Here is a 20,919-nt window from a genome sequence, read left to right on the forward strand (position 1 = left end):
CATGGTGAAACCTCGTCGCCACTAAAAATACAAAATTAGCTGGGCATGGTGCCGCATGCCTGTAATCCCAGCTACTCAGGAGGCTAAGGAAGGAGAATCACTTGAACCCCGGAGGCGGAGGTTGCAGTGAGCCGAGATCACACCACTGCACTCCAGCCTGGGTGACAGAGTGAGACTCCATCTCAAAAAAAAAAGACAAGGTCTCACTCTGGACAGAGTGCAATGGCACAATCATGGCTCACTACAGCCTCAATCTCCCAGGCTCAAGCCATCCTCCTGCCTCAGCTTCCCATGCAGCTGGGACTACAGGTATACACCACCACACTAGGCTAATTTTTTTCATTTTGGTAGAGACAAGGTCTCACTATGTTGCCCAGACTGGTCTTGAACTCTTGAGCTCAAGTGATCCTCCTGCCTCGGCCTCCCAAAGTGCTGGGATTACAGGCATGAGCGACAGCCTTCTTTACATTTTTCTGTCCTCTTTTATTTCTATCATTCACACCTATTATATACAATCTGGAAAATACAAAAAGGTACGAAGAAGAAAATTAAAATCTGCCCTAATCCCAGAATTCAAAGTTAATAAAAAATGTTTTCACAGGCCTGTAGTCCCAGCTACTCAGAAGGCTGAAGTGGGAGGATCCCTTGAGTCCAGGAATTCAAGCCAGTGGGCTATGATCCTGCCACTGTACTCCAGCCTGAGCAACAGAGCAAGACTCTGTCTCTAAAAAAAAATAAGTATTTTATTTTAATTCATCAAGGGTATTGTTCTTGAACTTTTAACAAAACTGGGATTATAGTCTACTTAACACTTTGCCCTTTGCTTTTTTCACTTAACATATTGTAAACATTTTCCAAAATCATTAACGAGCATTAAAGTCATTAAATCAAAGATACCATGTTAATGTCTGCATAATATGTCACACTATGAAAATAATATAATTTACTTAATCATTGTCCAACTATTAGTCACTTTTGACTTAAAATCACATAACATGTTTGTTATATGATCCCTAAAATAACACAGCATACCAGGCTAAGAAGTTACACAGTATCATTTAACAAGAAACTATATATGAAATCCATCTTAGCACTCAGTACAGTACCTGCTTGTAAAATACAAAGTACATCTGCAGCTTCCTCCAAATATACTGGACTCTCAAAAAGTTCAGAAGACTTGAAAAAAAATTCTCCGTTGGACTCAGACACCTTAAAAAAGAAAAAAAAAAGATATAAACTCTATTAATTTCAGATAATTAAATCCCTATTTTTATAATTATTTCTTGAGCTCACAGATTATGTCTCTTAATGTATCACTAATATACCACAGCAGAATATGCAGTATTCAATCAATTTCAACCAATTTAACCACACACAGCAGTCATGTTAATTATTATTCAGATATAGCAGTATCAATCTCAAGAACTGATTTCTATCTAAATATTTGGAGACAACTGGAATTAAAGGATAAGGCAAGCCAAAGAAATGAACTACAAATGCAGCCTACATAAACTGCTTTAAAAAAGCCAAGAACAGTCAACCTAAAGCAGTTTAACAAATATAAATTCATGGCCAGGTGCAGTGGCTGACGCCTGTAATCCCAGCACTTTGGAAGGCCAAGATGGGTGGATCAACTGAGGTCAGGAGTTCGAGACCAGCCTGGCCAACATGGTGAAACCCTGTCTCTACTAAAAATATAAAAATTAGCCAAGCATGGTGGCCATCTGTAATCTTAGCTACTCAGGAGGCTGAGGCAGGAGAATCGCTTGAACCCGGGAGGTGGAGGCTGCAGTGAGCCGAGATAGCACCACTGCACTCCACACTGGGAGACAGAATGAGACTCCGTCTCAAAAAAAAAAAAAAAAAGAAAAAGAAAAAAGAAAACAAACAAACATATATATATATATATATATATATATATATATATACGTGTTCAATTCTGAATAAACTGTTGGAAAAACAAAGAATTAAAGTTTAGATAACAAAATCTACTAAGCTTTTTGGAAATTCTGCACAATAGTTTCATAACCATATTTCCTATATAATGAAGAGTGCCAAACTAAAAAATTGGAAATCTCCCAGAGGAGAAAGGTCACTTATTTATTAGAGTCACCAAGTGAGGTATTACGGAAAAGATGAAGGAAAACTCTTGGCTGAAATTTAAAAGTATCAAAATAGGCTGGGCATGGTGGCTCATGCCTGTAATCTCAGAACTTTGGGAGGCCGAGGTGGGAGGATCACCTGAGGTCAGGAGTTCGAGACCAGCCTGGCTAACATGGTGAAACCCCGTCTCTACTAAAAATACAAAAATTAGCAGGCATGGTGGCGGGTGCCTGTAATTCTAGCTACTCAGGAGGCTGAGGCAGGAGAATCGCTTTAACCCAGGAGGCAAAGGTTGCAGTGAGCAAGATCACACCATTGCACTCCAACCTGGGCAACAAGAGCGAAACTCTGTCTCAAAAAAACAAACAAAAATAAATAAAAGTATCAAAATAGTAAAAAAGAGAAGGAAATTATAATTGGTGATGGAAATTTTAGAAAAATTTTTTAACATACCTTAAAAACTGTCTAAAACTCGGCCGGGCGCAGTGGCTCGTGCCTGTAATCCCAGCACTTTGGGAGGCCAAGGAGGGCGGATCACGAGATCAGGAGATCGAGACCATCCTGGCTAACACGGTGAAACCCCGTCTCTACTAAAAATACAAAAGATTAGCCAGGCATGGTGGCGGGCACCTGTAGTCCCAGCTACTCGGGAGGCTGAGACAGGAGAATGGTGTGAACCCGGGAGGCGGAGCTTGCAGTGAGCCGAGATTGTGCCACTGCACTCCAGCCTGGGCGACAGAGTGAGACTCTGTCTCCAAAAAAAAAAAAAAAAAAAAAAAAACTATCTAAAACTCACCAAAATCCTCTCTACCAGTATTTTCTATGAAAACAGAATTTAGTCCTTTCTCTTTTTGTCCACAATTTATAAAACTAAACTTTATTTACTATAAATTAACTGACTCCCCAAAATTATAACAGTAAATAAACATAAAGATCTAATTTAGTGGGTTTTTGTGGTGGTGGTGGTTGTTGTTTTTGAGGCAGTTTTACTCTTGTTGCCTAGGCTGGAGTGCAATGGCACAATCTCGGCTCACCACAACCTCCACCTCCCAGGTTCAAGCAATTCTTTTACAGGCATGCACCACCACTCCTGGCTAATTTTGTATTTTTTAGTAGAAACGGGGTTTCTCCATGTTGGTCAGGCTGGTCTTGAACTCCCAACCTCAGGTGATCCGCCCACCTCGGCCTCCCAAAGTGCTGGGATTACAGGCGTGCACCACCACGCCCAGCTAATTTAGTTATTTATATGATAGAACTTTGACATTCAAAAATTTTAAATTCAGAGTTTCAATTAACTATATTACCCAAAGGTCTATGACCTAAGTAATCTATAATTTTACAAAGAAGATAACTTGAATAGCTTTCATTAGTGTAAAGAAGCACTTTGGTCATTTAGTGATTGAGACTAGCCAATCATCCTACATTCAATTCAGCATTGATACTCCCCTCTGCTGTCATATATGAGGCTGTTACTGCTCATCCAGTGTCTAAATGAATCACATACATTTTTCAGTTATTCACATTCAGTTATTGAAAATGTTACTTCATTACACTTTATGGGAGAAATTGTATCCCATAAAGGTATTATCTGCTAATAAATTTGATAATCTGTACAAGCCTTGAGATAAATCCCTTTCTAAATGTCAAGAAGCCACTGTGTATGGATTCCATACGGAAAAAAATCCCTCTCATAGAAAATGCAGAACAAGTATAAATGAGAGAAAATGATAATTAAGAGAAGGACTTTAAGGCAGACTTATAATATCCTTTCAGGCTTTGAAAGGAAAACAAATATATAGAAATAAAAGTAGAGAAGGCCGGGCACGGTGACCCATGCCTGTAATCCCAACACTTTGGGAGGCTGAGGCGGGTGGATCACCTGAGTTCAGGAGTTCGAGACCAGCCTGGCCAGCCTGGTCAACATGGTGAAACCCCATTTCTACTAAAAATACAAAAAATTAGCTGGGCGTGGTGGCGGGCACCTGTAATCCCAGCTACTCATGAAGCTGAGGCAGGAGAACCGTTTGAATCTGGGAGACAGAGATTACAGTGAGCTGAGATCACACCACTGCATTCCAGCTTGGGCAATAAGAATGAAACTCCGTCTCCAAAAAAAAAGAACAAAATAAGAGTAGAGGAGAATTCAACCTGCCTGACTTCTTGTCTCTTTTTCTGTCTACCTCCCTATACATAGACATCAAATCATGCATACTTTGAGCTGTGGTTAAAAGAAATGCACCTTGTTCATAATTGCCAACAGTTCACTAAGCACAAGACGCAATCGACGAGGTGAATCACTGTGTTCAAACTCTAACGTCAGTCCATGCTGAAGCTGTGATACCAGGATGCTCTCTCCACTGCCTCCTCCAAGTTTATGCCTAATGAAGTACAAAACATGTAACAATTATGAAAACACTGATATGGAAATAATTGCATAAAAATTATCTTTTATTGAAATAAGCTATAAAAGGATGTATAAAGTGTTCTAAAATGTTCTGTTACTTCTGAAATGCTATTTAGTTTGCCTGTGTATTTCAGGGATTCACATCCTACGTATAATAAATACTCCACCACATAGGCCAGGCACAGTGGCTCACGCCGGTAATCCCAGTACTTTGGGAGGCTGAGGCAGGTGGATCACAAGGTTGGGAGTTCGAGACCAGCCTGGCCAATATGGTGAAACCTCGTCTCTACTAATAATACAAAAAAGCCGGGCATGGTGGCGCGTGCCTGTAGTCCCATCTACTCGGGAGACTGAGGCAGAAGAATCACTTGAACCCAGGAGGTGGAGGTTGCAGTGAGCCGAGATCACGCCACCGCACTCCAGCCTGGGCAACAGGGCAAGACTCGGTCTAAAAAAAAATAAAAATAAAAATAAATAAATAAATACTCTACCACAACTGACAATTAACACTCACTTCCACTGATGGTGGCTTGCTACTAGATTCACAATGGGCAGGGAAGGACATAGCACCTGCCCAGAATCTTTGGGAATATCTAAGCTTTAAAAGCCTCCCAAGAGGCTGGGCCCAGTGGCTCACACTTGTAATCCCAGCACTTTGGGAGGCCAAGGCAGGTGGATCACCTGAGGCCAGGAGTTGGAGACCAGCCTGGCCAACATGATGAAACCCCATCTCTACTAAAAATACAAAAAATTAGCCGGGCATGGTGGCAGGTGCCTGTAATCCCAGCTACTCGGGAGGCTGAGGCAGGAGGATCGCTTGAACCTGGGAGGCTGAGGTTGCAGTGAGCCAAGATCACGCCATTGCACTCCAGCCTGGGCAACAAGAGCGAAACTCTGTCTCAAAAAAGAAAAAAAAAAGCCTCCCAAGTGATTCCAATAAATCCCTCTAATCTAGGGGAAGTTACCCTACCTACTTCCCACTGAAAGTAATTGGCCTAATGAGTTTAGCCCACATACAACAGCACATTGCCATATTTCTCTAGATAACATTTTATAACATGGAAGTCAAAAGATTCTGGAACTGTAACTATATACAGAAAAGACCTAAGTAAAATGCTCTCCAGAATTTAGATTCTCATTCTCTCTTTTCTGGAGAGCTCTAAAAAATATCTGATTCCCTGTTCTTTGTCAAATCCAAATCCACATATAATATAACATAACATTACCTAAGCTGCTGTTCTTTGCTGGCATCTTGTTCTAAAGCATGAAAGTCCACGGACAACAATGCAACAATGGAGTTGACAGCTTCCACTCCAGAAAGAAGGCGAAGGATGAGTTTCTTATCCTGAGCCCAGCTTTGGCTCTGGTCAGCAGGTGCACAAAGTGCCATCCGTACCAAACAGGGCAGAAGAAGTCTTAATTCTGGATCACTTAAAGATGCCAGGCAAACAACATCCACCTTCTGCATTGCCTCAAAAGCAAAAGGGCTGACAAACTGAAGACTTGTACATTCAGTCATTATTACTGTTTGTTGATCCTAATGGTAAAAATACAAATGAAAGTAGGAGTTTAACTTTCACATGTATGAACACCCAACTTTCTAAAAACCCTGAAAAATGTGGTGTATCTTTAATAGGTCCCTATGTTGGCAATGTTCCTGGCACAATCAAGACAAGGCTTCTCTGTCTCCCTAGGTTTATACTGTCACCTGGGAAATGGGAAAGAAAACAGAGTATATTAATGTCTCTTCCAGCCTCAGGAATCTTCTGCTCTAATACTCATATTTTACAAAGAAGGAATATGAAGCCCAGAGAGATGAAGTAACACGCCCAAAATAGTATTACTAGTTAGAGGCACAATCCAAGGCTGAATCCTCATCTACTAAAATCCCAGTCCAAGACTTTCTCCACTATATCAGTCACATGAGCTCCACAAAATGTAAACAAAAGTGAATGGTCATAGTTAAGTGCTTTCTTTCATACCCCGATAGTTTCACATGCCTACCCCGATATACATCAAGAACTATTGGGCTTCTCTTTCTCACCCTCCATGAGTCGGTGGAAAAACTAGCAAATCACTGGGCAGAACCAATGCCAGATTCAAGGCTCTGGAGGCCACAACACTATCCTATGTCCCCTGTGTTACCGGGTAAAAAGCAGATGTGTGGGTGCTATGTGAGAAAGACGCGTCTCATTAGCGCACTTCTCTGTCTCCAGGAATCATCCAAGGCACAAAAAGTAAACAAAAAGGCAGTGAGCTGGCAGCCAAAGCAGTCCCCTCTCAAGGCCGACCGACTAGCAGCAGCGTGGGTAAAAGTCGTGGGTAAAAACTGCTTTGCTTTCAGGGAGGGGCTGCTCTTTTAACAGAGGGGCGGGCTGACTGGAGCAGAGGAGCCAAGACCTGCGTGCTCCTCCGTCTCGCCCCGGGCGCAACTAGAACCAATAAGTCCCTCAGGCTGAGCAAAGTCTGGCCAGGCTCCGACACGGACCTAGGAACGCGCTGAGGCCAGAGAAGCGGACGCTTCATACCTTAAGATCTACCCTCCAGCCTCACGGAACCGCACACGGACTCCGCGTCCTAGAGGCGGGACGCGGCAGAAATCGAGAGCGCGGTCCGATGTTGGGCCTAGGCGATATCCGGAACCCCAAACCCTAGTTGTGCCTCGAGTCGACTCGGACACCAAGAACTCAGACGCCGGGACCAACCGGGTTGTCGATACAAAGTGGGAAGGATGGGGGCACCACACAAAGGCAGAACCGGGACTGTAGGAACGGAAAAGCGGGAGACTTTTTCAACCTGCACCCAGCACCTTCATTCATCCCCAGCGTCTGACTCCCGTCGGCCACCGTACTGGTCTGAGAGGAAGGGTGGCTGCGAGAGGAAAGGCAGAGACGTCGGCGCCAATGCAACTGTGCGCGTGCGCGGCCCCGCCCCTTTCTCCACTTTATTTGCCCTGCCCTACTTGTTCGCCAAAAATTTAGAAATGTGATTCTGGTAGGCTCTGATTTCCAGAGCCTACCAGCTCCTTCCTTTTAGACAAGCAAGCCACTGAGCCCCTCAGAACTTAAATTTCATCATCACAGGATTGCCATGGCATTCAAATGGCATAACGTGTGTTAAAATCGTTCCCACTATTCTTTGACACTAGTGGTACCAAACTGTACTCTTTAAATCTTTGCCTGTGCCTTCCCAGAACCAAAATTCTAGAATCCCAGGATTTGTGGGAGAATTTTAAAAGTGATCTAACCCCAAACTTTCTTCCGCTCTTGACCTCACACCTCCGCTGTCAGAAGTTAAACACCTTCCTTTCAGGTTCTTAACTTGGGGGACCCATAGAACCTTAGAGAGGCAATGCACGGGGATTCAGGAATTCTCTGGAATCCGTTCAGAACTGAGTGCTCGGCACTTCTTCTGGGAAGAGGGTCCAAAACTTTCAACAACTTCTCAAAGGAAGTCTGATCACTCAGAAAAGAACCACTAGTCTATATATGAAGAACCGCTAGTCCATATGTCTTCATACTATTTATTGTTCCTAGTTCGATCAACGTTTATTTGGCAACTTCTATTTACCAGATATTGTGCTAGGAGCTGGAAATAAAAATATTTTACAAAGATATAGCACTTTATAACCTCTTTAAAAATAAAGTCAGAGCCGGGCGTGGTGTCTCATGCCTGTAATCCCAGCGCTTTGGGAAGCCGAGGCGGGCGGATCACCTGAGGTCAGGAGTTCGAGACCAGCCTGACGCAACATGACTAAACCCCAACTCTACAAAAAATATAAAAATTAGGCCGAGCACGATGGCTCATGCCTGTAATCCTAGCACTTTGGGAGGCCGAGGCAGGCAGATCACGAGGCCAGGAGTTCGAGACCAGCCTGACCAACATGGTGAAACTCCGCCTCTACTAAAAATGCAAAAATTAGCCAGGCGTGGTGGTGTGCGCCTGTAATCTCAGCTACTTGGGAGGCTGAGGCGGGAGCATTGCTTGAACCTGGGAGGCGGAGGTTGTGGTGAGCTGAGATCGTGCCATTGCACTCCAGCCTAGGCAATAAGAGCGAAACTCCGTCTCAAAAAAAAAAAAAAAAAAAAAAAATTACCCCAGCGTGGTGATGGAGCACCTGTAGTCCCAGCTACTTCGGAGGCTGAGACAGGAAAATCACTTGAACCTAGGAGGCAGATGTTTCAGTGAGCAGAGATCATGCCACCGCACTCCAGCCTGGGCAACAGAGCCAGACTCCATCTCAAAAATATATATATATATATGACTTTCAACATAGATCAGCAAAGGAAGAAAAGAATTGTGTGTTGCAATGCTTCTGAAAATTTTTTCCACCTGACCCACAATAATACATTTCACATTGTGACCCAGAAAAAACATATGTATATATCCACATACAAAAATAAGTGTAAGTGTATAAATTTATATGCTATATAAACATATAAATATATAACATATAAACCCACATTTACATGGAAACAAATATTTCGTATAATAACACACACACTACATGTTTCTACTTCTCTTTAAAAAACTGCTGGTCACTGCACACTAAAACTGATTTCACACTCTATTAATGGGTTGCACACTGTACTGTCCTAGCATTTTTAAGCTAATATTTGGGATTTATTTATTGAACACTTGCTAGGCACTGTAATAAATGCTTTATATATATTATCTGATTCAATCTTGTGACGTAGGTAATATTCGCCTTTTGCAATTGTGGAAACTGAGAGAGGGTAAGCAATTTCATCTCCATGGATGGTCATTTCACAGGAAAAGTGTGAAGGCAGTGCAAACATTGGTTTGAGGGACGAATGAGAGGAAGATGTGGGTATGAACTAAGTGATTTTAAAGATCCTTTCCAACTCTAATTATGATCCTCTGTTCACTAATGGAGAAACATCATGCAGATTCAGTATCTCCATCTTGATCTATGGAGAAACAGAAAAATCACTGAATGAGATGGCTGCAGTGTCACATAATGAGTGCTGACACTTCCTCCAAGTCCCCCTCTCCTTTTCTTCCAGTTCACCAACTTGACCTTGAGTTGCTCAAGCCAGAAACCTAAAAGTCATCCTAGACTCTAATCTCTCCCCCTTGTATTAATTTAGCAAAAATCTTTATAATCATTGAAACATTGTAATGTTTGCCAATAAAACTTTTTTTTTTTTGAGACAGAGTCTCGTTCTGTTGCCCAAGCTGGAGTGCAGTGGCACGATCTCGGCTCACTACAACCTCTGCCTCCCAAGCTGAAGCAATCCTCCCACCTCAGCCTCCTGAGTAGCTGGGACAATAGGTGTGCACCACCACACTTGGCTAATTTTTTTTTTTTTTTTTTTGAGACAGAGTCTCGCTGTGTCACCCAGGCTGGAGTGCAGTGGTGCGATCTTGGCTCACTGCAACCTCCGCCTCCCAGGGTCAAGCGATTCTCCTGCCTCAGCCTCCTGAGTAGGTGGGATTACAGGTGCCTGCCACCATGCCTGGCTAATTTTTTGTATTTTTAGTAGAGACAGGGTTTCACCATGTTGGCCAGGCTGGTCTCAAACTCCTGACCTCAGCTGATCCACCCACCTTGGCCTCCCAAAATGCTGGGATTTCAGGCATGAGTCCCTGTACCCAGCCTCTCTTTTTTTTTCCTTTTCGACACAAGTTCTCAAGAAAAGAGCGGCAGTGCAGTTGGGCGATCTTGGCTCACTACAACCTCAACCTCCTGGGCTCAGGTGATCCTCCCACTTCAGCCTCCCAAGTAACTGAGACTATGGTCATGCATCACCACACCTGGCTAATTTTTCTATTTTTTTGTAGAGACAGGGTTTCATTATGTGGCCAGGCTGGTCTTGAACTCCTGGACTCAAGCCATCTGTCCCCCCTCAGTCCACCAAAGTGCTAGGATTACAGGTGCAAGCCACTGCACCTGGCTTGACCAGCTTGCTTTTATTCTTCTACTTTATTTTTCAATCAGACTGGAGGAAGAGAGAAACACAAGTAATGAAAAAATGAGAAAAACAGAAAAACACATTAGAATATCTATTATGTTTCATGTATACTAGGTGCTTAATGTAGGTTGCAGAGTAATTGAGCTTCCAGCAGTTAGAAGACCTAACTATACAAAGGTGAGGACCAATGTCCTTCAGAAATAGTCATAGAATTCCAGAAGCACAAGGATCTCAGAAGACATCTAGCTCCATTTTGCTCAACATGATGCTCTTTATAGTGTGACTATTTTATCTTGTAAGATGTCTTTCAGGAGGGCACGATGGCTCATGCCTGTAATCCCAGCACTTTGGGAGGCCGAGGCGGGTGGATCACGAGGTCAGGAGTTCTAGACCAGCCTGGCCAATATGATGAAACCCTGTCTCTACTAAAAATACAAAAATTAGTTGGGTGTGGTGGTGTGCACCTGTAGTCCCAGCTGCTTGGGAGGCTGAGGCAGGAGAATCGCTTGAACCCGAGAGGTGGAGGTTGCATTGAGCCGAGATTGCGCCACTGCACTCTAGCCTGGGCAACAGAGTGAGACTCCATCTCAAAAAATATATATATTCTTTCATGTTTCAGCCTGTAAAGATCTTTGACTCTTTTACACTGGCTATCTGTTTTAGCTTAGCAGATCATATCTTCATTAATATTATGGATAAAACATTGAATAGAATTGGGTCCAGCCAAGACTTCTAGTTCAGCATTAGAGACATCCCTCCAGGTTGACATAGCTCCACCAATCAAGGCTCAAGTATGAGACTGTTTTATAAATCAGCCCAACTACTAAAACACTACCCTGCTTTGGGATAAAGTTGAATTTCTTTAGGATGGAACTAAAAAGACAGATTGATTGATTATATTTTTTTGAGACAGAGTCTCGCTCTGTCACCCTGGATGGAGTGCAGTGGCTCAATCTTGGCTCACTGCAACCTCCGCCTCCCAGGTTCAAGCAATTCTCCTGCCTCAACCTCCCAAGTAGCTGGGATTACAGGCACCTGCCACCATGCCCAACTAAATTTTTGTGTATTTTTAGGAGAGACGGGGTTTCACCATGTTGGCCGGGCTTGTGTCAGTCTCCTGACCTCAAGTGATCTGCACGGCTTGGCCTCCCAAAGTGCTGAGATTACAGGCGTGAGCCACTGTGCCAAGCCCTAAGACAGATTTTTTTTTTTTGAGGTGGAGTCTCAGTCTGTCGCCCAGGTTGGAGTGCAGTGGCACAATCTCAGCTCATTGCAACCTCTGCCTCTTGGGTTCAAGCGATTCTCCTGCCTCAGCCTCCTGCGTAACTGGGATTACAGGCACCCACCACCATGCCTGGCTAAATTTTTTGGGGTATTTTCAGTAGAGATGGGTTTTCACCATGTTGACCAGGCTGGTCTCAAACTCTTGACCTCAGGTGATTTGCCCACCTCAGCCTCCCAAAGTGCTGAGATTACAGGCTTGAGCCACTGCGCCCAACCCAAAAACAGATTTTTATGGTCTGACTTAAAACTCTAGCTTGGAGTCCTGCCGTATCCCACCATGGTGTCATTTTAGTCAGTTGGAACTGTTTATGTCTCAAATCCTTCTCAATATTCTTGGACCTTCTCATCACAGTTCCTCCTGTCTAGAATGCTTTTCATTCTCTTTTTTAATGCAAACTCCTAAGTGTCCTTTAAGTCTCACCTCCAGTGTTCCCTTGCTAAGAGACCTTTCCCTGACAAACCACCTACCCTTTAACTTATCAGGTATCCCTATTCTATGCTCTCAAGGCACCTTTTGCTTCTTTCAGCTATACTACTTAACACATTATATTGTAATTGTTAGAACTTCTCTGTCTCTCCCACTAAAAAGTATTTTGAGAGGGCCGGGCACGGTGGTTCACCCCTGTAATCCCAGCACTTTGGGAGGCCGAGATGGGTGGATCATGAGGTCAGGAGATCAAGACCATCCTGGCTAACACAGTGAAACCCTGTCTCTACTAAAAATACAAAAAATTAGCCGGGTGTGGTGGCGGGCGCCTGTAGTCCCAGCTACTCGGGAGGCTGAGGCAGGAGAATGGCATGAACCCAGGAGGCGGAGCTTGCAGTGAGCTGAGATCGTGTCACTGCATTCCAGCCTGGGGGACAGAGTGAGACTCCGTCTCAAAAGAAAAAAAAAAAAGGAAGTATTTTGAGAGCAGGGACCATATTTTAGTTCCTTGCCAAAGGCACAGTACGACACTTAACTTACTTTGTTGAATTAATGATTCAAGCATAAAGATACCACGATGCATAGTTTGCAAATATTCTCCCATTCTGCAGGTTGTCTGTTTACTCTGTTGATAGTTTCTTTTGCTGTGCAGAAGCTCTTAAGTTTAATTAGATCCCATTTGTCAATTTTTGCTTTTGTTACAATTGGTTTTTGTGTCTTTGTTATAAAATCTTTTCCTGTTCCTATGTCCAGAATGGTATTGCCTAGGTTGTGTTCCAGGATTTTTACAATTTGGGGGTTTACATTTAAGTCTTTAATCCAACTTGAGTTGATTTTTTATATGGTGTAAGGAATGGGTCCAGCTTCAATCTTCTGCATAGGACTAGCCAATTATCCCAGCACCATTTATTGAATAGGGAGTCTTTTCCCCATTGCTTATTTTTGTCAGCTTTGTTAAAGATCAGATGGTCGTAGATGTGTGGCCTTTTTTCTGGGCTCTCTATTCTGTTCCATTGGTCTATGTGGCTGTCTTTGTACCAGTACCATGCTATTTTGGTTACTGTAGCCCCGTAGCATAGTTTGAAGTTGGGTAACATGAGGCCTCCAGCTTTGTTCTTTTTGCTTAGGATTACCTCAGCTATACGGGCTCTTTTTTGGTTCCATACAAATTTTACAATAGCTTTTTCTAGTTCTGTGAAGAATGTCATTGGTAGTTTGATAGGAATAGCACTGAATCTGTAAATTGCTTTGGAAAGTATGGCTATTTTAATGATATTGATTCTTCCCATCCATCAGCATGGGATGTTTTTCCATTTGTGTCTTCTGTGACTTCTGACAAATGTGTAACATCCGGCATCTATAAGAAACTTTAAAAAAATGTAGAAGAGAAAGACAGCCCTGGCCAGGCACAGTGGCTCATGGCTGTAATCCCAGCACTTTGGGAGGCCAAGGCGGGCGGATCACCTGAGGTCGAGAGTTCAAGACCAGCCTGACCAACATGGAGAAATCCTGTCTCTACTAAAAATACAAAATTAGTCGGGTATAGTGGCGCATGCCTGTAATTCCAGCTACTCAGGAGGCTGAGGCAGGAAAATCGCTTGAACCCGGGAGGGAGAGGTTGTGGTGAGCCGAGATTGTGCCATTGAACTCCAGCCTGGGCAACAAGAGCGAAACTCCATCAAAAAAAAAAAAAAAAAGACAGCCCCATTAAAAAGTGGGCAAAGAGGCCGGGCACTGTGGCTCACGCCTGTAATCCCAGCACTTTGGGAGGTCGAGGCAGGTGGATCACAAGGTCAGCAGTTTGACACAAGCCTGGCCAACATGGTGAAGCCCCGTCTCTACTAAAAATCCAAAAAAAAAAAAAAAAAAAAAAATAGCATGGTGGCGTGCACCTGTAATCCCAGCTACTCGGGAGGTTGAGGCAGGAGAATTGCTTGAACCCGGGAGGCGGAGGTTTCAGTGAGCCAAGATCACGCCACTGCACTCCACCCTGGGTGACAGAGCGAGACGCCGTCTCAAAAAAAAAAAAAAAAAAGTGGGCAAAGAACATAAACATCCACTTTTCAAAAGAAGACATACAGGCGGCCAACAAGTGTATGAAAAACAGGTAAATATCTCTGAGTATTAGAAAAATGCAAATCAAAACCACAATGAGATATCTCACACCAGTCAGAATGAGTATTTTTAAAAAGTCAAAAAAATAGTGCTCGCTTTGGCAGCACATATACTACAATCAGAAACATACAAAGAAGACTATCAAATTTTTTTTTTTTTGAGATGGAGTCTCGCTCTGTCGCCCAGGATGGAGTGCAGTGGCACGATCTCGACTCACTGGCAAGCTCCACCTCCGGCATTCACGCCATTCTCCTGCTTCAGCCTCTCAAGTAGCTGGGACTACAGGCGCCTGCCACCACGACCGGCTAATTTTTTGTATTTTTAGTAGAGACGGGGTTTTACCATGTTGGCCAGGATGGACTCGATCTCCTGACCTCGTGATCCGCCCGCCTCGGCCTCCCAAAGTGCTGGGAGTCCAGGCGTGAGCCACCGCGCCCAGCCTTTTTTTTTTTTTTTTTTTTTTTTTTTTGAGATGGAGTCTCGCTCTGTCACCCAGGCTGGAGTGCAGTGGCGCAATCTCAGATTGCTGCAACCTCCACCTCCCGGGTTCAAGCAATTCTTCTGCCTCAGCCTCCTGAGTAGCTGGGATTACAGGCGCTCACCACCATGCCCGGCTAATTTTTTTTTGTATTTTTAGTAAATACAGGGTTTCACCATATTGGGCGGGCTGGTCTCCAACTCCCAGTGATCCACCCGTCTTGGTTTCCCAAAGTGCTGGGATTAGAGGCATGAGCCACTGTGCCCGGTTGCAATTTTTTTTTTTTTTTTTAATGCCAAAGAAGAACAGATGCTGGCAAGGTTGCAGAGAAAAGGCAACACTTACACACTGTTGGTAGGAGTATAAATTAGTTCAACAATGTGAAAAGTAGTGTGGCAATTCCTCAAAGAGCTCGAAATACCATTTGACCCATCGATGTCATTACTGGTTATATATCCAGAGGAATATAAACCATTCTACCATAAAGACACATGCACGTGCATGTTCATTGCAGCACAATTCACAGTAGCAAAGACATAGAATTAAATCTAAATGCCCACCAATGACAGATTGGATAAAGAAAATGTGTACATATATACCATGGAATACTGTGCAGCCATAAAAAAGAATGAGATCATGTCTTCTGCAGGAACATGGATGGAGCTGGAGGCTGTTATCCTTAGTAAGCTAATACAGGAACAGAACACCAAATACCACGTGTTCTCACTTAAAAGTGGTAGCTGAATGATGAGAACTCATGGACACAAAGAAGGGAACAACAGACAATAGGGTCTACTTGAGGGTGGAGGGTGGGGGTGGAAGGAGGCTAAGGAGAAGGAAAAATAACTATTGGAAACTAGGTTTAATACCTGGGTGATGAAATAATCTGTACAACAAACCCCCATGACACAAGTTTACTTATATAACAAGCCTCCACATGTACCCCTAAACCTAAAAGTTAAAAAAAAAAAAGATACCATGGAATTTTACTAAATAACCTGCTGAATGTTCATTCTCATAATTAGTTTATCAATACTGTCAAAATAAAAGATGAGGGCCAGGCATGGTGGCTCACGCCTGTAATCCCAGCACTTTGGAAGGCTGAGGTGGGCCAATCACGAGGTCAGGAGATCGAGGCCATCCTGGCTAACATAGTGAAACCCCATCTCTACTAAAAATACAAAAAAATTAGCCTGGCGTGGTGGCAGGCGCCTGTAGTCCCAGCTACTCAAGAGGCTGAGGCAGAATGGTGTGAACCCGGGAGGCGGAGCTTGCAGTGAGCCGAGATTGCGCCACTCACTCCAGCCTGGGCGACAGAGCGAGACTCCGTCTCTAAAAAGTAATAATAATAATAAATAAAATAAGAGATTGATTCCAGTTACTCTCTTTTAGGTATGTACTGCATTGTTATTCATAGCACTTTAGAGGACTTGTCGAACTAATTATGTTCATACAAGTGTGTTTCCAAATATACTGAAGGCTTAAGGTCAGAGGTTTGTATCTCTCTTTTTTTTTTTTTTTTTTTTGAGACGGAGTCTCGCTCTGGCCCCCAGGCTGGAGTGCAGTGGCGCGATCTCGGCTCACACTGCAAACTCCGCCTCCCGGGTTCACGCCATTCTCCTGCCTCAGCCTCCCGAGTAGCTGGGACTACAGGCGCCCGCCACCGCGCCCGGCTAATTTTTTTTTTTTTTTTTTTTGGATTTTTAGCAGAGACGGGGTTTCACCGTGGTCTTGATCTCCTGACCTCGTGATCCGCCCGCCTCAGCCTCCCAAAGTGCTGGGATTACAGACGTGAGCCACCGCGCCCGGCCTTGTATCTCTTTTCTTTTTTTTGAGACAGGGTCTCACTCGTCACCCAGGCTGGAATGCAGTGACATGATCTCGGTTCACAGCAGCCTCCGCCTCCTGGGTTCCAGCGATTCTCCTGCCTCAAGCCTTCTGAGTAGCTGGGAATACAGACACATGTCACCACACCTGGCTAATTTTTTTGTAATTTTAGTAGAGAGGGGGTGTCACCATTTTCCCAGGCTGGTCTCGAACCCCTGACCTCAAGTGATCCACCTGCCTCGGCCTTCCAAAATGCTGGGATAACAGGCGTGAGCCACCACGCCTGGCTCGAGATTTGTATCTCATAACTAGTGTATAGTAGATTATTTTATTGTACAAACAAACAGTGTTTTAGTGAAACTATGCCAGTTTCTAATTAACTTGTTGGTAAAGTTAGGTAAATTTGTTAGAATTTCTGGGACCTGGCTGGGCGCGGTGGCTCACTTCTGTAATCCTAGCACTTTGGGAGGCTGAGGCGGGCGGATCACTTGAGGTCAGGAGTTCAAACCCAGCCTGGCAAGCATGGTGAAACCCTGTCTGTACTAAAAACACAAAAAAATTAGCGGGGCGTGTTGGCGGGCACCTGTAATCCCAGCTACTCGAGGCTGAGGCAGGAGGATCTCTTGAACCCAGGAGGTGGAGGTTGCAGCGAGCTGAGGTTGCGCCACCGCACTCCAGCCTGGGCAACAGAGTGAGACTCCATCTCAAAAAAAAAAAAAAAAAAAAAAAAAAGAATTTCTGGGACCTACATTAAAAAAACTAAAACTGAGAAAGTTGCTCATTTTCACTTTGGCAGGACCTTTCCATTTCCCACACCATTTCTGAAATCATATCTGCAAGTTCCTTCAGCACCCAAGATGTAATTCTTGTGGATCCAGAGACTTGAGCAACTAACTAGCTCCTTGAAATCTGTTAACTATCTTTGGTTTGAATTCTATCATAAGCATGTTATTTAGAGCTTGAAGACCCAAGCTGAGCTGGGGGTGGAGGGGTGGGGCTAGGGACAGAAAGGAGGTAAATCTGAATAGATCTAAATAATTTTTTTTTTTTTTTTTTGAGACGGAGTCTCGGTCTGTCGCTCAGGCTGGAGCGCAGTGGCTCGATCTCGGCTCACTGCAACCTCCAGCTCCTGGGTACAAGCGATTCCCTTGCCATCGCTTTCTGAATAGCTGGGACTACAGGGGCCTGCCACCATGCCCGGCTAAATTTTTTTTGTATTTTTAGTAGAGTCGGGGTTTCACCGTGTCGTCCAGGCTGGTCTTGAACTCCTGACCTCAAGTGATCCTCCCGCCTTGGCCTCCCAAAGTGCTGGGATTACAGGCATGAGCCACTGAGTCCAGTCAGGTCTAAATACTTTTTGTTATCTTACCCATCTGTACTCTTATTGGAACATATTTAAAAGTCCTTTTTGTTGCCTTTAATTATCCACCTATTATGTTCATGTTTCCAAGTAGACATTCTCTTGTAAACCTTAGTTTATTCTGAATTTGGCTCTTCTAGAGAGCGTAAGTATTAAACAATCATCTCTCACACTTTTATAAATTTTTTTTGAGACAGGGTCTCACTCCATCGCCCAGGCGGAGTGCAGTTGCACGATCATGGCCCACTACACCCTCGACTTTCTAGGCTCGAGTGATGCTCCCACCTCAGCCTCCCCAAGTAACTGGGGCTACAGGTGTGCACCACCACATCCAGCTAATATTTTATAATTTTCAAAATTTTTGCAATTTCCTTTGAGGTTAACAAAGCTAATTAGAAAGATATAGTTATGTTCTTTTACAAATGAACAACTTGTGACTTCAAGAGGTTAAGTGTTTTGCCCAAGTTCACAAATGTGGCAAACCTAACAACTGAGGAATCCTAATCCTATGATCCTAAACTACTTCTAATATTAAAACGAGTCCAAAGTAGTTAGAATTTTATAACTTCATTAAAAGTATTTGCAAAACACACTTCAGCAAAGTTCTGTAGTTTGAGGTGTTTTATCACAAAAACTCAATTCAAAAATGCTTTTATTCAAAAATACTCAAGTTGGCCAGGCACAGTGGCTCACGCCTGTAATCCCAGCACTTTGGGAGGCCAAGATGGGAGGACTGCTTGAGGCCAGGACCAGCCTGGGCAACATGGCGAGACCTCCATCTCCATAAAAAAAATACAAAAATTAGCTAGGTGTGGTAGCACATACCTGTAGTTCTGACTGCTTGAGCCCAGGAGGCTGTTAGAGTGAGCCATGAGGGTGCCACTGCACCCCAGCCTGGGTGACAGAGGGAGACCCTGTCTCTCAAAAAAAATTTTTTTAAAATATTTAAATACCTTACTCCAATGCTGGGCATTGTGTTGGACTCTGGAGATACAATGATGAGCAAAATAGATCTAATTTCTGCCCTCATAGAGTTGTCTGGTGATGACAAATAATCATACAATTGACCGGGTGTGGTGGCTCACGCCTGTAATCCCAGCACTTTGGGAGGCTGAGGCAGGTGGATCACCTGAGATCAGAAGTTTGGGACCAGTCTGGCCAACATGGTGAAACCCCATCTCTACTAAAAATACAAAAAAATTAGCAGGGAGTGGTGGCAGGCACCTGTAATCCCAGCTACTCGGGGAGGCTGAGCCAGGAGAATTGCTTGTACTCGGGAGGTGGAGGTTGCAATGAGCCAAGATCGTGCCATTGCACTCCAGCCTGGGCGACAAGAGTGAAATTGTCTCAAAAATAAATAAAATAAAAATCATACAATTGTAAACTAAGAAAAACACTACAGGCCAGGTGCAGGTGGCTCATGCCTGTAATCCCAGCACTTAGGGAGGTTGAGGCGGGCAGATCACCTGAGGGCAGGAGTTCAAGACCAGCCTGGCCAACGTGGCCAAACCCCATCTCTACTAAAATACAAAAAATTAGCCGGGTATTGCACCGTGCGCCTAGTCCCAGCTACTTGGGAGGCTGAAGCAGGAGAATTGCTTGAACCCGGGAGGCGGAGGTTGCAGTGAGCAGAGATCACGCCACTGCACTCCAGCCTGGGCAACAGAGCGAGACTCTGTCTCAAAAAGAAAAAAAAAAAAGAAAAAAACACAACAAAGGCTCCATATAGGGTATTACAATAAGAGTGTGTAACAAGGGAGCCTGATCTGAAGCAAGGGTGTAATGTGGAAATCAGGTGGAAGCTTTAAGGCAAAAAATACCCATGGGTCTTTCAAGGAACTCAAATGACTAAAAAGCAAGGAGGAAAACATAGAGGCCCATTTTGAGACTGTATTCATCTTTAGAGCAAGCAGCAGCTACTAAAGGTTTTCAGCTACCAAGGACCACAGTGAGTGTAGAGATCAGATAGGAGTACCTGTCTATTGCAATGGTCCACTCAGATAAGGTAGTTTTATCTAATGTTATATAGCAATGGATAATGCTAATTTAGACTAAGATCAGGACAGCAGAAATAGAAATGAACATATTTGATAGTACACAAAACTGATAGTTTTTGATGAATGGTTGCAAGGAAGAGTTTATGGTTTGCACAACAGGATAGATGGTAGTGTCATGCACAGTGACAAGGGACAAATGGTTGTTCTCTAGGGACCAAGTGGCTTTTGTAGAAGGTAACTGTTGGTCTTACTGATCAGATATGCTCCAAACAAAAAGAAAACGACAAAACCAAGACTTAAACTCACACATTCCGAATGCAAATCTGTAAGACATTATATGGCTTGGACACGTGGCATGATTTAAATTTATCACTTCTAATTTTTTTCTCTGTAGTAGGTAGGAGCAAAATAAGGAAGTCTTTAAAGCATCAGCCTTTAAACTTTTTTTTTTTTTTTTTTTTGAGACAGGATCTTCTCACTCTGTCACCAAGGCTGGAGGGCAGCGGTGTGATCTCGGCTCACTGCAACCTTGCCTCCTGGGTTCAAGTGATTCTCCCGCCTCAGCCTCCCAAGTAGCTGAGATTACAGGTGCATGCCAACACAGCCTGGCTAATTTTTGTATTTTTAGTAGACGGGTTTCACCATATTGGTCAGGATGGTCTCCAACTCCCAACCTCAGGTGATACGCCCACCTCAGCCTCCCAAAGTGCTAGGAAAACAGGCGTGAACCACCGTGCCCGGCCTAGACTTTAAACTAAACAGAAGGTCATTCTTGACGGTTCTGTTGGGTTGCTCTAGAAGGAAAAGACAAAACAAAACCCAGCTCTAACAGTATCAATTTCTATTAATCTCAAGCAGAATTTCTGGTTATAGCTATAGTACACTAAGGGTAGAGGTTCTTAATCTTCAGTCCAGGATTGATAACTCCCCTACAGTAGACAGGAAGATATTGGCAAAAGCAGAATAACAGAATAGACACCTCAGGAAT

At 43.8% G+C, this 20,919-nt stretch overlaps 1 protein-coding gene across 4 annotated transcripts in view, besides 1 other annotated feature; it reads right to left on the reverse strand.

Moving 5' to 3' along the window:
• Positions 1–7,364, reverse strand: part of INTS2 (integrator complex subunit 2) — a 62,616-nt gene extending 55,252 nt beyond the window's left edge. For 2 of the 4 annotated variants that reach the window (XR_934509.3, NM_020748.4), the window contains exons 1-4: positions 7,317–7,364; positions 5,734–6,044; positions 4,343–4,481; positions 1,107–1,209 (exon numbers count right to left, since the gene is read on the reverse strand). Coding sequence is in view for 3 of the 4 variants with exons in the window: in NM_020748.4 (NP_065799.2) it covers positions 1,107–1,209; positions 4,343–4,481; positions 5,734–6,044; positions 7,317–7,322 (559 nt within the window). In the remaining variant the exon portion in view is untranslated. Of the gene's footprint in view, positions 1–1,106; positions 1,210–4,342; positions 4,482–5,733; positions 6,045–7,035 lie in introns of all 4 variants that reach the window. The other 2 variants (NM_001330417.2, NM_001351695.2) reach the window with 2 other exon arrangements.
• Positions 7,395–7,494: a silencer, noted in NCBI's record as "silent region_8802". NCBI's record gives its function as "represses an Ori minimal core promoter by ATAC-STARR-seq in GM12878 lymphoblastoid cells {active_cell/tissue: GM12878}" and the evidence as "EXISTENCE:reporter gene assay evidence [ECO:0000049][PMID:35858748]".

The sequence above is a fragment of the Homo sapiens genome, chromosome 17, assembly GCF_000001405.40.
Source record: "Homo sapiens chromosome 17, GRCh38.p14 Primary Assembly".
NCBI classification, from domain to species: Eukaryota; Metazoa; Chordata; class Mammalia; order Primates; family Hominidae; genus Homo; species Homo sapiens.